The 17,088-nt window shown below is 37.0% G+C and overlaps 1 protein-coding gene across 37 annotated transcripts in view, besides 1 other annotated feature; it reads right to left on the reverse strand.

Moving 5' to 3' along the window:
• ESRRG (estrogen related receptor gamma) overlaps positions 1-17,088 on the reverse strand; it is a 634,457-nt gene that overhangs the window by 492,550 nt on the left and 124,819 nt on the right. For 2 of the 37 annotated variants that reach the window (NM_001243507.2, NM_001243509.2), the window contains exon 2: positions 4,458-4,929. The exons of the other annotated variants lie outside the window; for them this stretch is intronic. The gene's annotated coding sequence lies outside the window, so the exon portion shown is untranslated. The remainder of the gene's footprint in view (positions 1-4,457; positions 4,930-17,088) is intronic. 37 annotated transcript variants of the gene reach the window in all.
• Positions 1,510-1,679: an enhancer, noted in NCBI's record as "experimental_4481 CRE fragment used in MPRA reporter constructs". NCBI's record gives its function as "activates a minimal promoter by MPRAs in K562 erythroleukemia cells, with activity observed for both the introgressed and non-introgressed 1:217170732 variant alleles {active_cell/tissue: K562}" and the evidence as "EXISTENCE:reporter gene assay evidence [ECO:0000049][PMID:34662402]".

Genomic DNA, 17,088 nt, shown 5'->3' on the forward strand with positions numbered 1-17,088 from the left:
TACACCATTTCCTCTATCTCCTGACTACATTTTGTCCTATTCTTTTTGTTCTATCATAAACCAACTTGTGTCCTGATCCCATTCTAGTGTTTTCTTTCTTGCCATTCACTCCTATGCACATAAAGAACAGGACAGCAGAAATGAAGAGTGAGCTGTAATCTCCACTCAATTCCAGGATTCAAAATGTGGGTTACAAAGGAAAATCAAGTAATAACCTTTGTAGAAGGGCTTTTATTAACAAAAAAAAAATTAAGGGCAGTTTATCCCCTTGCTAAAAGAGTTTTAGGCATGATCCTACCTGAAGATAATGAAATAGATTGGATCAGTGATTGCTATAAACAAATCTGAGTGCAGATTTAAAATGAGGGGGAATAGTCTAGGATAATTTCTTTCATGACTGTGTCTCTGCTTCTTTGGACTTTACAGAGAAGGCAAAGAGGAAAAAGAGGAGGAAGAGTTAGATAAGATGATATGTTACATTTTAAAAGGAGAGTATAAAAAGTGTACATGCAGAGGACTGGAAGTAGAAATGGTAAGTACTAAAGGAAAACAAGGAATGGAAATGGGAAAAATGGATAGGGTAAGGGGATGAGAGGAGGAAAAACAGAGAAGAAGATAGGTAACAGTATAGATAAATCAGAGGAGAAAAAAAGTGAAAAATAACAGGCAAAAAGAAGGAAAGGGAGAAATGGAATATAGTAATTTATGCATACTGGGGGCCTTATTTTGAAAGTTAAATAAGTAAATGAATAAGTTAAGGTGAGAAATAAAGGTGAGAAAGAGTCAAGGAGTAGCCAAAAAAGGTAAAAATATTTACAATCTGATTCTAGTCTACCACGTTGTATATTCATAATACTGTATGCATTATACTCAAAAAGTGCTGAGTCCTCCCCTAATCCTGTCAATGGAGAGCAAAACACTATTATAGCAATATGAAGAATAATCTGAATGCTAATATCATTCATTCATTCATTCAGCCAATATTCACTAAACACTCTCAGTGGGCCAGCAGACACTACATTAGGTGTTAAGAATTTGACTGTAAGACACACAACCTATGGCCCCAATGAGACTGCAAAAGAAAGCATTAAATATCTTTTGCAAGTTGGAAAGAATCTTTTACTTTATATTGCACAGGCTACATAATCTGTGAAAAAAAATCAAAATCAAAAGTAATAGTATGTCTTGGCCAAAAGCCACAGGAAACGGGCATTTTTCTCAATAGAATTAGATGACATTATGACATGTGCCCATTTAGAATGGAACTGCAAATCATAAAAATGCCAAAAACGTGGAGAAGAAAAACATTAAAGGAGCTAACAGTAGAATATTAAAGACAGACATAATTAAAGAGAGAAAGGCATAATAAATACAGGGTACTTTAAATTCTCTTTGTCATAGGGCTGTACTGCAGTTTGACTCCCAGTCCCATTAAAGTCATTCTAAATTGATTCCCTCGGTATAATGAGCCCCTCTTGATAACACCAAAACACTTGGCCTCTCAAGAGCTCCTTAAAGACAACCCTGCAGAACATGCCGCTAGCAGGATATTCCTGCAAGGAACTAGCAGCCACTTCATTTAGCAGCCTGGCATGCAGTGAAACAGACCAATGTCTGGCTTTTCCTCCCCAGATGTACAGAAAAAGAATGAACAGCTTCCCTTTGCCCATGAGGGAGGCCTTTAAGGTACATATTGCAGGAACATGGTTCTACTGAGTCCCCAACCTTTGATGTTTCCTGGTTATGACTGTCTTAGACTTTGAGTTGTTACATTATAGATTCTCTGTAACAAAGTCTCTTTACTATTTTACATTTGGGCTACAAATTTTAGCTTCCTACTTAATTTGCATAAAGAGAGAATTTACAAAATTTCCCACTGAGGTCATCTTTCCTAAATACTTTTGCTATTCTATACGGAAAAGCGTTTAAAATAGGGACAGAGGATTCCAAATACATTTTATAATGAACACTATTCTCTTCCACCATACAATGCTAGCAAATATAAGGAACAGACAAGTCACTGGGACATCCAAGGAACCCAAATTATTACATTACCATTTTCCTGGACCCCATTAACCTTGAGAGAACTGTAAAGGTCATTAGTTTGCATGGCTAAATCGCTTTCAGCAATTTCTGTAAAAATGTACAAACAATAACTCTTTCACCCATGCTCAGGAATTTTTTTTCTTCCCTTTTTTAACTGTGAAAGATATTTGCATGAAAACAGGATCTTTGTTTCCTAAGGATTGATCCACTTGCTACTTACTACTGCTTCTTCTGCACCTTGGTGACATCATAGCTCTGGCTAAGGAGCTAATTTTAAAATCACAAAGGATTGTGATTTCAAGTAGAAGCAGCTAACCTCTTGTGAAACAAAGACCCTGTTTTCAAGCCATTGTTTCTGATAATAAAATGCAAGAAACACTAAACACCTAAAATGTCAAATAGATGTTTTATCTGAAAATAGATATTAACATTGTCTATGATTCTCTACTTCTTAAAGCTCCAGGAAAAAATTAGACAAATAGACAAAAGAAACTAAAAATGAAATTTTGAATGTTAACAACATTCTTTCTCTACACCTTTGCCAGTGTTGTTTGCCTACAAACATTGGACAATCATATTATCATTGTATTATACCATCCTCATTTCATGGAGTGATAGCAATCTAAAAATAGGCTTTGAAGATGGCATGATGGCATATTTTATCTAGACATTACTTCTTTTTTGCAAATATAAATCCACTTATAATATTGTTATCATTTAATTATCCCTACATAATTTAGCATTTTGCTTACATTTTGTTATTTCTGTTATCACAATTAAGAACTGGTTTTCAGTGATTTTAATCTCAGCAATGTGCATATATGAGGATAACCCTAATTGCTATTTATAAGAGATAATTAGAAATATTCCTTCACACAGCGTGAAATAAAATTCTATATCTCATAAATTCCAAGGTATTGGACAAGTAAGAAGAATATAAATGGATTTATAACACATTTCAACAAATTTATACAATTTATAAAATCTTATGACAAAATTATAAATGGCCATTGAGAGCACCTAGGTGATGTCCACCCTTTGAATGAGATTTCAGAAAAGATAATGAAACATGGACATTCACATTTGCGTGGTTCATATAACCCATGAACCATAGGCTGGAGTTAGTGTGCCACTTCTACTGCATACTACTGAGGTAATCACACACAGCATGGTCCTATTTCTTGTGATTATTTGTGACTCTCCTGGGCCTGAGTACAATAATATGTCAGAAAAGAGAATGCTGTGGATCAGTGGCTTGGGTGAACTATTTAGTTTTGCCCTCTCTGGACCACAGACTGCATGCCCAGCCCCAATTACCTGAATCTGTATGCCCAGTTCTTGTGTTAAAGGAGGACTAGGGGAAGACAAGAGCTGAAACTGGGTTCACATCTTATCATTATTTTTACAAAGCCAACTCACATGTACCTGCCACAGTGGCAGCACAGTCTAGGTGTATGTAAAGATATTGTTGTTATGGGTACTATCCATAAGGATACTTAAATCAAAAGAGCCACTCTTTATCAAGCACATACATGCTAGGAACTGTGCTCAATACATTACATACATTATCTCATATTTACAAAATATTTTCAAGGTATTTTTTCTCTGTTATGGAGAGGATGTGATTGAGACTTGGAGGAGTTAATCAGACCAACTTTACACAGCTGCTATGGATACACTGGGATTCAAGCCCATCCCAGGTCTATCGGACTCCAAATTTCTCATTTTTCTTCCTAGTTCAAGAGGTATGTGACATGGATTTAAAAAACTAAAAAAGATCCAGTATTTTACCAACACCCTGGCTGAAAAATCTGTAGATTCGCTTGTTCGTTCAGCAAACATTGGTTGAGTAGTTACTCTGTGATGATTCATAGTTTGTGAGAAGAAATGTATTTTTGTTTTTGTTTTTGCTTTTTAAAAAAGGGTGGTTTAGAATCTCAGATTGATTCTGAGATAAACTGATAAGCCTCCTTCTTAGCTTCTGTGTTCTGACCATGGCAAACCACTCAACCCTTGCATCTTCAATGTGAAAAGATTAGACATGACTATTCCCATGTTTGTTTCTAAAAGGGGAAACTCTTTATGCTTCTGTTCCAATTCTCAAACAGTATCTACTATTATTCTGTAGCAGATACACCAGTATCAAGCTATTGTTAATTAATAAGCATTCCATGGAAATGTGGGCTAAACAGTGACTTCATTAAAAGAGCATAATCTATTTCATACATCTTTGCTTATCCCCAAGATTTTTTACATGTAAAATGTACTAAGTGGAGTGCTATGTTTTCATCTGAATGCTGCTTAATGCTTGCCTTATTATACGTAAGCGAACAGTTATTGTATTAGTTTGCTAGGGCTGCCATAATAAAGTACCACAAACCAGTGGCTTAAAAAACAGAAATTTGTCTCACAGTTCTGGAGGCTAGAAGTCTGAAATCAAGATGTCAGCAGGGTTGATTCCTTTTGTAGGCTATGACGGAGACTCTGTTCCATGAATCTGTGCTAGCTTTTAGCAGCTTGCCAGCGATCTTTGGAGTTCCTTGGCTTATGGCAGCATAATTCCAATCTTTATGTGGCATTCTCCCCTTGTCCCTGTGTCCAAATTGTCTCCTTTTATAAGGACATAAGATATATTGAACTAGGGCCCAATCAAATGATTTCATCTTAACTTGATCTTCTGCAAAGACCCTACTTCCGTAAAAGGCTATATTGTAAGGTATAGGGAGGTGGTCAGGACTTCAACATCTTTTGGGGATACACAATTCAACCCACAACGGTGATCCTATATAAAGCTTGATTTCTTTAGATGTTTCATAAATTTTAAGCTCAGATGTCTCCTTGTTGCACTAACTCCAAGTGAAGGACCGTGTAGCAACATCGTCACTGGAAACCCACAGAAAAAAGACAAGACACAGCTTCATGTTAGAAAGGGCAGGCATTCAGCAAAGCATTGGTCCCATGCAGCAAGGGCCTATGCACTCTGTGTGTGTTCCATAGACTTCCATGCCAATTGAAACTCCAGCTATCCACACTATGCACATGTTAAAGACAGATACACTTTTCCATTCAATCAGGGACAATGCCGTTCACCGGCACCAAAATGAACCATGCTGTCATGTAGGATGGTGGCCTCAATGAGATACATCTTGATTTAATGGAGAAATAAAAGTGATATAAGATCATAAGCTAAGACCATCATAAAGTGCATGCAAGCACCCTATACTTTAATACTCCCAAGCTGCTTTTTAACTCTGAGTGAAAAAATTTGTCTAATGTCTACAGAAATGGTTCAACTAATTTCTTCCTTTAAGTAATATCAACCTGTCTACTATAATACACCTTAGTGGAAGCTGCCTTCTTTTCTTCGGTTCTTTTTTTTATGCTGGAACTCTGTAAAGATATAGGAATGGACACAGTGCTTATTTCTGAATGACAGGAACTCTCCCACAGAAATAAAGCAAATCCACACTTGATTACCGTCTTTACAGACCCTTTGCAAGCACCAGAGTCTGAAAATGAGTCACGTGGATGATACCAAACTGCCTTGGGCAGTAAAAAGCAGCCGCAGCTTTTCCCTACTCTTCCATTAATAATTCCTTCATTCAATCACACACAATTTTTGAACACATATTCTGTCTCATGTTCACTGTTTTAGGTTTAAATAGGGTAGTGGATATAGACCTCATTGAAAATGTAACACTTGAGAAAAGACTTAAATTACAAAAGGCGTTGATCATGAAATATATATAAAGAATATTTCAAGTAGAGGAAACAGCCAATGCAAAAACCCTAAGATAACGGCAAGTCTGGTAAGCTCAAGGAATAGCAAAGAGGCCAAGGTGGCTGGGGCAGAGACAATGAGAGGAGAGGAGTTAGAGTGGAGGTCAGGGAGGAGGTAGGGGCCGGTTCACATAAGGCTTTCTTGGATACTACAAAGACTTTGACTTTTACTGAAGGAAATGGAGAACCATACCAGCATTTTGAACAGAGAGAATGACCAGACTTTTGTTTTAAAATCTCTTTACCTTAAAAGTCATTTGTACATCAAAAGTGAAAGGCCAAGAATTGATAGCTTAAGCCAGTTCAGCACATGGAAATGGACCTTCACAATCCCAGCTCAAATCTCCAACTGCTAATAAGTTTGGCACCATTATAATTTTTTTTTTAAAGAAAGGAGCACCCGGGCATGATGGCTCACACCTGTAATCCCAGCACTTTGGGAGGCCGAGTCTGGTGGATCACTTGAGGCCAGAAATTTGAGACCAGCCTGGTCAACACGGCGAAACCCCATCTCTACTAAAAATACAAAAATTAGCTGGGCATGGTGGTACATATCTGTAATTCCAGCTACCCTGGTGGCTGAGCCACGAGAATCTCTTGAACCCAGGAGGCAGAGCTGGCAGTGAGCCGAGATAGTGCCACTGCACTCCAGCCTGGGCATCAGAGTGAGATTCTGTCTAAAAAAAAAAAAAAGAAAGAAAGAAAAAAAAAAAAGAAAGAAAGAAAAGAAAAGAAAGAAACAGAGATTATGCACATTGTATAATATTTATTTTAGGGCAGATCCGTCCCTAAAGTTATATGGGCTTAGATTTTATTCCCTACTCATTAAAATTAAGGAGTTGATTCTGACAGTTATCTATAAAATTACACATATACAGTATATTAATACTGTAGGAATCAGCCTTCATGGTCATCTAGGATGATCTTTGCCCCTGATATTCACATCTTTACAGTGAATAAACAGTAAATCACAGCTGGCCAGTATGACCAATACAATATGGCAGAAGTGATGGTGTGTGACTTTCAAGGCTAGGTCATAAAAGGCATTATAGCTTTTACCTTGTTCTCTTGAATCACTTGCTCTAGGAGAAACAGCCATTGTGCCATAAGGAGAGGGACACATGGAGAGGAACCAATTTGCCAGCCATATGAGCAAGTCACCTTGGAAGTGGAACCTCCAGCCCCACGCAGGCTTTCATTTGACTGCAGCTCCAGCCAACAACTGGTGACTGCAACCCCCTGGTGACATGCAGCCCCATGAGTGACCATGAGCCAGAATTGCCCAACCAAGCTGCTTCTAAATTTCCAATCAACAGAAATCATGATAAATAAAGTCCTCAGTATTATTTTAAGCCATGAAAGCTTTTGTTACTCAAGCGCAGATAACTGTTATATTCCAAATAATCTGTACAGTGATCATCAGTTAGCTACTGTTCAAAACATTTACTTTTGTGAGATATGCTTTTGAATTTCTGAACTCAACTAAACATTTAGTAATAAGATCACAGCCAGATAAAACTACATCAGGAAGTTGCAAAAAAAAATCTTTCATTTGACTGATATTACATTGAAAAAGTACTGGTTTGAAGTGATATAATGTTGGAGAAAGCATGGACTTTGAAGTCAGAAAAAAGTGGATATGAATAATGGCCATACTTAATAGCTTGAGCAAATTACTTAAACTAATCAAGTCTCAGTTTCTCAACCTATAAAACAGGGAAAATAATACTTAGCTTACACTGTTGAGAAAATTAAGTGAGATAATATGAAAAAATAATTTTATTCAATAAACATTAGTTTCCCTTTTCTTAAAATGAATCTGGGCCACGTTTGTTTTGTAAAGACAAATACTCTAAAAATAATAATTTAATGTATTATGTAAGCTTTATTTGCTTGTCTCATGGCTAATATTAATACTAATATTAGGCTTGAAATATTAGTATTAATACTAATTAATAAGTATTAATATTAATTAATATTAATATTAATACTAACATAAGGCCTAATATTGAGCTAACCAAACTCAAGAGTATTTACAATCAGTAATTCATTTGTTATTGGCCACTGAAATGGCATTTACATTTTGGAAACAGGAAATAACTAAATAAACACATTGCCCAATCAGATTACCCATAATATTTGTGTGACTTCTAAGACTAGGTCAGATATGAGACTTATTTTCAGTCTGTTGTTTTTCATCATAAATGTAATTTCAATGTCCAGATGACATATGGGTACATACATGGATGGACCAAAAAAATAAAAAAAAAAGAAGTCATCATTAATTCAATAGCACAATTAACTGAGTTTGTGACCTCAAATTTGGAAATATGGTTTGATTCACAATGAATATTCATAATTATCTTATTAATCATAATCTCATAAATAAATAACATACTGTCTTATGGGGTAAAGGGGAGCGAGAAGTTACCAGAATCTTGATCCCAATATCTACAATATTCACCAATGCATAGACTGTGTTATTAAACAATGTTTACATTTCTACAACGTAAAATTGACAGACGATGAAGTATATTTTCCCAGTTCTTTTACTTATCCTGCCTGTTTTCACAAGTTTTAGAGAGGACTTTAAAAGAAAGAAGAATGGATTACTGACTGATATGGTTTGGCTGTGTCCCCACCCAAATCTCACCTTGAATTGTAATAATACCCAGGTGTCAAGGGCAGGGCCAGGTGGAGATAATTGAATCATGGGGATGGTTTCCCCAAAACTGTTCTAGTGGTAGTGAATAAGTCTCAGGAGAGCTGATGGTTTTATAAATGGGAGTTCCCCTGCACAAGCTCTTTTGCCTACCACCATGTAAGACATGCCCTTGCTTCTCCTTTGCCTTCTGCCATGATTGAGGCCTCCCCAGCCGTGTAGTACTGTCAGTCCATTAAATCTCTTTCCCTTATAAATTACCCAATATCCAGTATGTCTTTATTAGCGTGAAAACTAACTAATATACTGACCAACAATGAAGTAAACAGTACCCAACCCAAGGTTCCCCCCAAATATGGTAAGCCATGGGCATATAATCTAATTATTTGAAAGAAAACAGATTGTGCTGGTTAAGAAATTAATCTGTATAACTATATCAATCAATTAATTTATTCTGAAAATATGTATTCTCATGAATGATGCTGCTTGACACATTATATATATAGTGCCTGTGAAATGAGAATGATATTATTTTGGAATCTAGCTGCCATGATAAATGGTATATCACTTTGAAATCACGGGACTAAAAATAGTAAAAGGGACTTTGGACTTTTTACTACCAAGGACACTTGATACCTTTTAGTGGTTTCCCCCATGAGTCATATTGTTTTGTTTTTGACAATCAAACTGCATTTAGTTAGTAATAATGGTTCTACTCTTATTAATAAAAAGCTATTTATTGCCGATCAGAATTTGTGATTTGCACAAGATAACTCAGTGTTGTCAAAAAGGGAGAGGTGAGTTTATATCAGCCAAACCAAGACCAAAACCAAAGAGATGTCTTAGTTAGCTTGTGTATATTGTGATTTTATGTCTTATTTTCATTAGACTTTTTTAAATACTGAAAGTGAGTCTTTCCCCTATTACTTCCTCCAAGGATTCTAAATGAGAAGAACTATTCAGGTCCAACCACCTCCTTTGAAGGACAATCATGACCAGAGCGGTAGATGATTAGTCCAAGCACACAGCTAAATAGTGGCATAAGCTGGACAGTAAATTACATATTAAAACAAAGACTGGTGCCTTTTCTCCACTGCGCTAAAATGATTGGAGGTTTGCCCATGACAACTACCAGCTCAATAAGCCAAATCAATAAAAATTTCAATCACAACTGTTGCTTGGCATACACAGATAAGCCCTCTAAAAGAACAGGGAACTCTTAGACACTTAGGATAATGCTAAACAGATAGGACAACTAATAGAAGGACTTGTTATGTAATGTTCTCCCTCTCAAAGTGTCAGAGTCAACCAAAGAGGTAGTTCTGCTGTTTATTGTGTTTTAACTCCAAAGATAACCTCACATTTACAATACCATAAATTCTCCCTAACAATGTTGTATAATAACATTAGCATTGGTTCTTAAATGGTTCTTCTGACCATTAGGAAAAAAATTTTTAATAGTAGGTCTAAAACCATAGCTTTCTATGTCAAAATTCTCTCTTCTTTTTTTCTAAGCATTTTAAAGTCAAGTAGCCTATACAAATTTATAGGAAAAGTGCTTTCGCTTACTTTTAATGTGTCAACTTCAGAGCCAGTCTTCATTACTATGTTAATCACTGTGGTCTTTATTAATGGATATTTTATCCCAACTATGTAACAACTTACTTACAGTAGAACAATAACTAATAATTAGGGACAGAATTGGTTCACTCTTGAAACCTAGAGACTAATGATTAACTAACACAACTGAGTCCAGTTTGAATTGGAATGGCTTTGAACTCATAGAATGGCTTTGAACTCATAGAATTTGAACTTATAGAATGAGTCCTTTTGGCTTATTATCAGACTTCTTGTGTATTCTACAATACAGTGTAGAAAAATAAACATACACTCAATGTTCAACATAAGTTATGCTAAGAATGAATTTATAAATCACTTAAAAATGTTAAAAAGTAAAATGTAACTGAATAATATGATGATTAGGTAATATAAAGACCCATAGTCTTTATTTAATATTATTGGTGTTAGGCTTATCTGAGTAATCAACATATACAACTTTAATTCTACAAATAACACCATCAATAATTTGGATTAGTAATCTTAAGTTATGTCTATATAGTAGTACACAATATACTACAATATACATATAACTTCAATAAGTCTCACAGGCTGTGTGGAGCCAACATTGCACTACAGTTACGTTGGAACTGGCTTAATAACAAAGATTAATTTTAACTATAGGTTGAGTATCCCTTTTCCAAAATGCCTGGGACCAGAAGTGTTTTCGATTTTGGATGTTTTTGAATTTGGAAATATTTGCATATACATAGTGAGATATCGTGAGAATGGGACTCAAGTCTAAACACAAAATTCATTTATGTTTCTAATATACCTTATATGCACGGCCTAAAGGTAATTTTATACAATATTTTAAATTATTTTGCAAGAAACAAAGTTTTAACTGTGCTTTGACTGAAACCCATTACATGAGGTCAGGTGTAAATTTTCCACTTGTGGTGTCATGTTGGCCCTCAAAATGTTTCAGATTTTGGAGCATTTTGGATTTGGGATTTTCAGATTAGGCATGCTCCACCTGTATTTAGTAAACTGAACTGTGGTCAAAGTAATTTTTTAGCTGCTGTGCTGTTTTATTTATTGCCATCAGCGATAAAGGCTAGCTTCCCCATAAGTACTTTATAAATCATATCACCAGTTTAAGGCTTATAAAAACTATTTTAATTCTATGTGATTTAATGCTTTCAATAATCCATCAGGATTTTTCTTTAGATCTTTAAAAGGACTGTAAGGAGTTCAGAGATGATAGAGATTAAATTTACAGGATACTCACAATGAGAGCAAAAGGAATATTTCATCACCCCATATACATGTACATACAGCATTCTAATGTAGTAGATTGTTTTACTATCCCAAAGCATTAAGATGTGAATGTGACTTCTCAATTTTCCTGAAAATTATGTGGGTCAAGGGGGAGAGGGCCAGTGCCAACACCATCACCATATGGTTCCAGGCTAAAATTTTAAAATATTTTCCCATACTTCTATGTTATTGCTAACTCAACAATTTTAGTCTCTTCTTCCAAAGGGGGAAAAGGGGAAGGAAAGAAACACTAAGTCAATGACATTTTCATAACAAACTTTGAAACACTGTTATGGTGCTGTTGGATAATTCAAGGACATTATCCTCACCCTCAGCTCAATGTCTAAAAATACTTGCAACGATTATTGTCAAAAACCATTTATGACTTCCTTTGGAGGATAAGAGAATAATAAACTTCAGTCTTGTAAATATCATTATCAGAACAGTCTCCATAAAATTCTTCTCCTTCCTTTCTTATTCTTAAGCTATTTATTTTGATGAAACTGAGCTTTCTAAACCTATCAAAGAAGATTTTACTTGGACCGACTGACTTCCTTCCTCCTTCCATCTTTTCTTCCTCCCTTCCCTCTTTTCTTCTGATGCTTATTCACTATATATGGACTAAGCATTTACTATATGCCAAACACTGTTCTAGGTGCTAGACAGTCAAAGGCAAATAAGGGGGGAAAAATCCCAAGCCAATTATGGAATTGAGGTGGAAGCAGGTGCAGGGGGAGGAAAGAGCATTAAGAGATGAGTCCAAGAGAAGAGCCATAATACAAACAAGAAGAATGATCTATCAAAGGGATCCACAGACATCAGATCTTCTGCACAGTGTGTCTAGTCTCACATTATAGTCTTACATTTCATCTGCTATGCTCAAATGTATCCTAAAGTAGAACTAGGCAATTAAGATAAACCAACAGCTACAACAACAGAAACTTTAAACCCAGTGCAGCAGACATTAAAATCTTCACCACTGCAAACCATTTACACCTTTTAATTCCTTTCAGGCTGTCTGCCACTGTGAGATATGGGCAACGTAACTATTATTCTCCCCATTTTACAGATGAGTAACTTGATTCTTAGCAAAAGGATTGTTCAAGGTTACAAAGCTCAGTAGCAGAACTAAGATCTGGAACATAGACCTCTGATTGCAAATGCAGAGCTTTTTCCATACATTATTTCTCCACAGTCAGAATATATGCTCAACGAAAGTATAATCTAGCAACTGAATTCAAACCCTGGACTCCAGTGACTGCTCTAGAATATCTACATAATGGAATATTAGAAGGCAACCAGTAGGGAAAGATTTCCTTGAAGTGGCATAGGCAACATACTACATTTACTTAGATTGTTTGCACTCTCTAGGTTCTAGGCTGGTGTTGCTAGTGACTGTGAGAACTCTTGGAGTAGAGAGAAGAGCAGAGAAGACACATATTGATAATGAATTAAACCCCAAGGGCAACACAGATATCTGTGACAAGTTGCCATGTAAAGCAGCATCCCAACTTCTACTACAAGAAATCTTAAAGGTTTTATTTTATTAATCAGGGACAGTGGCTCTTGATATACCACTTAAGTCCACACCTGCAGGGTTTTGCACTGTGATTGAGTTGAAACAAATTCCACTTGCTTCTGTGGTAAAGAGACCTAGTTAAATAGACTAGCATTCCCCAACTAACTGCTAGCTAAATGAACGTCTTCCCACCAAAAACCAGGTATATTCTGCAGGGCTTAGAAACTGAAGAAACACCATCTTGAGACTTTAATCAGAGATTTTAGTGGCCAGATTTCAAGATCACCTGATGTGATCATATTTGAGGGGATTATTTTTGTATATGTCCAGAAATTTATTTGGAAGCAGTGAAAATATTCTCATTCTTCATGGTAAAAAATATTTTACAGCTCAATATGTCACATTCACTTGCATCTCCGTAATTTCACCTTGCTTCCTTGTTACTAAAATGCTTCCTGCTCAAGTCAATCTGATCCATCTAAATGCTACATGCTTGAAACCAGGTATTACCCCCTTACCGCTCTCACAGCACCCAGCACAATGCAGGGCCCACAGCGGGATCTATATATTGGTCGACTTATTTTTTTAATGCACAATATTGAAGATTGCTCTTTAAAATTCATTCCATAGGATGGTAGATAATGTACATTTTTGCTGAGACTTGCCTACAAGGGATGCCACACCTTTAAGGGATCAGATCACTGGCTTTGAGGCTTAAAGCTCTCAATTCCAAAAGACACAGAGGGACAGCCCAAGTCATTCAAATAAGCTCACGATTTTATTTCATTTGAAAAGTAAACAATCATAAACAATTAAAATGGCAAGCTATAAAACAAGCATAAAACTTCCCATTGTTCCATGATGTGCAGCTACTACATTAGCTTCATTGTCTATTGTTCATGGTGTTTGGCAAGAATGCTTTAGGCCTGAAAGTTTGCTTAAGGAACACTGGGAGTGCCAGACCTCTACATCCATGTCTCCCATGAGCATATCCCATTGAGTATAGTTTCCTTTTTCTTTTTCTTTTTTTTTTTTTTTTTTTTTGAGATGGAGTCTTGCTGTGTCACCCAGGCTGGAGTGCAGTGGCACAGTCTTGGCTCACTGCAACCTCTGCCTCCTGGGTTCAAATGATTCTCCTGCCTCAGCCTCCCAAGTAGCTGAGATTACAGGTGCCTGCCACCGTATCTGGCTAATTTTTGTATTTTTAGTAGAGACGGGGTTTCACCATCTTGGCCAGGCTGGTCTCAAACTCATGACCTCATAATCCACCCACCTCGGCCTCCCAAAGTGCTGGGATTACAAGTGTGAGCCACCGCGCCCGGCCTGAGTATAGTTTTCAAATTTTAAATTGCTCTAACTTACACTCAGAGCATAAACATTAGACTAGCCATGGGCACTTTTTTATTGATGGAGTACAATACGAAGAGATTTCACTGTAGGGGGAAACATCAGCAAATCAGAAGTGCAGAGATGATCCCAGCCAGTCCAAAATGAGAGGGGCAGATGTAGTCATTAACACAATTTCTGATGAATAAACATACCCTCTTGCATTATTTTGCTGTTTGCCTGTTCTTCATGCTGTGTCTCTTTGGCAAAAGAGAGCCAATTTCTGGGTCTGAAAATGACTGTTAATCACATTTTTAAAAACATATTTTAGCAAAGGATGAAAACACTCACAAATGCAGCTGAAATTTTTAAAGAGAAAGAGTGAAAAGCAACCCCACCCCTGCAGCCAAAACAACTCAGTGTGGGAACAGTGTCATGTTGACTCATCTCTGAAGACCAACTGATTTGTAAAATGATCAGAAATGAGGTGGCTGGCTCTGATTACCATTGTGATTTGCGGGTGTATTTATCCTTTGATAGAAAATCTGTTCAAATGAATTCTCCCACATATATGCCATGCATCAAGCAATGCGCTTGACAGTGATCTTCATAAAGAACTGAGCCTTGTCAGAGGTTATCTTTTCATTCAAAGGTACAAAATGAAAGATGGAGATGTAACTCCACACCAAATTTGGCCCCGTGAAAAGAAGCTATAGAATGACTATCTGAAGAGGCCAAGAGACTTTGAATAAAACAGGCAAAGACCAGGAAAACAATGACCTTGAATGGAAAATTATGGGAAACATGATTAAGGTAGCTGTGTGTAGACCAGGAAGCTAACGTAGGAAAATTAAGAGGATAGGGAAGTTTAATTCTCTTCTATAGAATATTAGCCCCTTACCTCCTTACCCATCCCTTGAGACAGATTAGATCTTAAAATGCCTTTCATCTCTGGTAGACAGGTTGCAGCACCAATAGGCTAAAATATTCATGGGCAACAGCCTGCAAATTCCAACAAGCCACATTAACTGCTTAGATATACTGACGATACCAAGGTTACCACCAAACGCCATCAACTCATAGTACCATATGATCTGCTTACTATGCAAATGTGTACATATGTGTGAAGTCTGATTATTATAAATAACTCATTTCCCAGCTGCGTACACACTCTACAGAAAAAATGACACATTGCCTGACTATCACTAAAAGATGCCAAGTGAATGTGATTTATAAAATCAGTCTTCCAAACCTGTTTCTCCTGATTTTAGGTTCTGTGGGGAACATAAAAGGAAGTCCCAAGTGAAATGAGAGTTGTCTGACATTCAATAAACAGGTTTATTGGTGGACACTACAATGCTAGAAACCAAGGCTGGCCTTCCTTGGAGCTAGTCTGAGTGGTGACTTGGTAAACTGTGAATTAAGCTGAATCATTGCACTGGCTCTGGAGGGAACAGAGGCTATGAGTGGCTAAATGGTTGCATACTATCCCGCTTCCTCTACACATTAGCTAATTAGTTGGCTGCCTACATGCAAAGCATTTGCTAGATAATCTCCCAAGGAAATAAAAAAAACTTCACTCCTCGTTTCAGTAGGTCCAGTCGAGAAACTAGCCTGGGATTGCTTTGGGATTGGTTTTGTCTTGGAGAAGACATAATGTCCACATATGCACAAACACACACCTCACTGTGGGTACCTCATATCTAGTTCCTAATCTAAATTCTCCCAGGGATTCCTCTGTGATCCTGACTTCCCAGCTTCAGGCTGCGATTGCCTTCCTCCTCTTGTGGCTACTCTGTCCCCAGGCTCACCCTCTGGCCCACCTCAGCCTGGATGTCTAGTTTCTTAGTACTTACCTAATTTGAACTACTTATCTCTTTAGCCCCGAGTTTTGTATACAACTTTGTTTTCACTTTTCTTCGTGCTAGCTTGTACCCCCTCTGCAGGATTACATATTCCTAGAAGCCCCACCATCATTGCAATGAGGGACACATTCAGGCTTTGAGGTATCTGAAATGCATGCAATTGAAAAGGGACTCTTTTTAAGAAGATGAGTACACAAATATAAATGTAAAGTAATAAGTAAAACTTTGGAGGGGACCCATGAAAGTGAGGTGACCTAGAGCTTGAGTTTCATCCATTTCTTAATAAATCTGCCTCTGATGTGGACACCGTCATTCTAGTGGATTGCCATTAAAGGCTTTTGGCCCGTCTTCTGAGAAACCCATCTATTTCTACAGCACTTAGGACTTTTTCCTTGAGAATTTGAGATTTTAATAAAACTTGAAAGTGTTTATGCCCATAAGAGGTATGCAATCAATATCTGCAAATATAAATAATAAAAATGATAAGATGTGATCACAGGGACCCCAAACTCTCAATGCATAAAATGTGGGAAAAAGAAGCTCATGAATCCCACCTGTTATCTTGGAAACTGCTACTGCTACATACCTAGCTTGATAGCATTTGAAATAGCTCCTAACTAGATAGTATTAGAAAACCCTTGTTTCGAGTTACTGATAGCAAGAAAATGACACTGACACTGGCAATTTAGAAAAGGCAAACTCAGAGGCTAAGTTTAGGCTAAGGAAATTACAGAGTACAAGAACACTTCTTCCGTCCTTTCCTTCCACAGGTTCCTCAAGCTGCCTCTCCCCACTGGCCTCCCACTTTGCCCTCAGTAGCTACAATTTGGCCAGAGAGTTCTCAAGCTAATTTCATACACAGACCAGTGAGCAAGAATCCCTGCTCCTTTTTTTTCTGAGTTCTTTGAATATTACTGTATTATATCCTCAGGATTTCTATTCATAGTTTGCCCTAGGGCTATTGTAACAAAGTACCACAAACTGAGTGGCTTAAACCACAGTAATATATTATC

The sequence above is a fragment of the Homo sapiens genome, chromosome 1 (assembly GCF_000001405.40).
Source record: "Homo sapiens chromosome 1, GRCh38.p14 Primary Assembly".
Classification (NCBI taxonomy): Eukaryota; Metazoa; Chordata; class Mammalia; order Primates; family Hominidae; genus Homo; species Homo sapiens.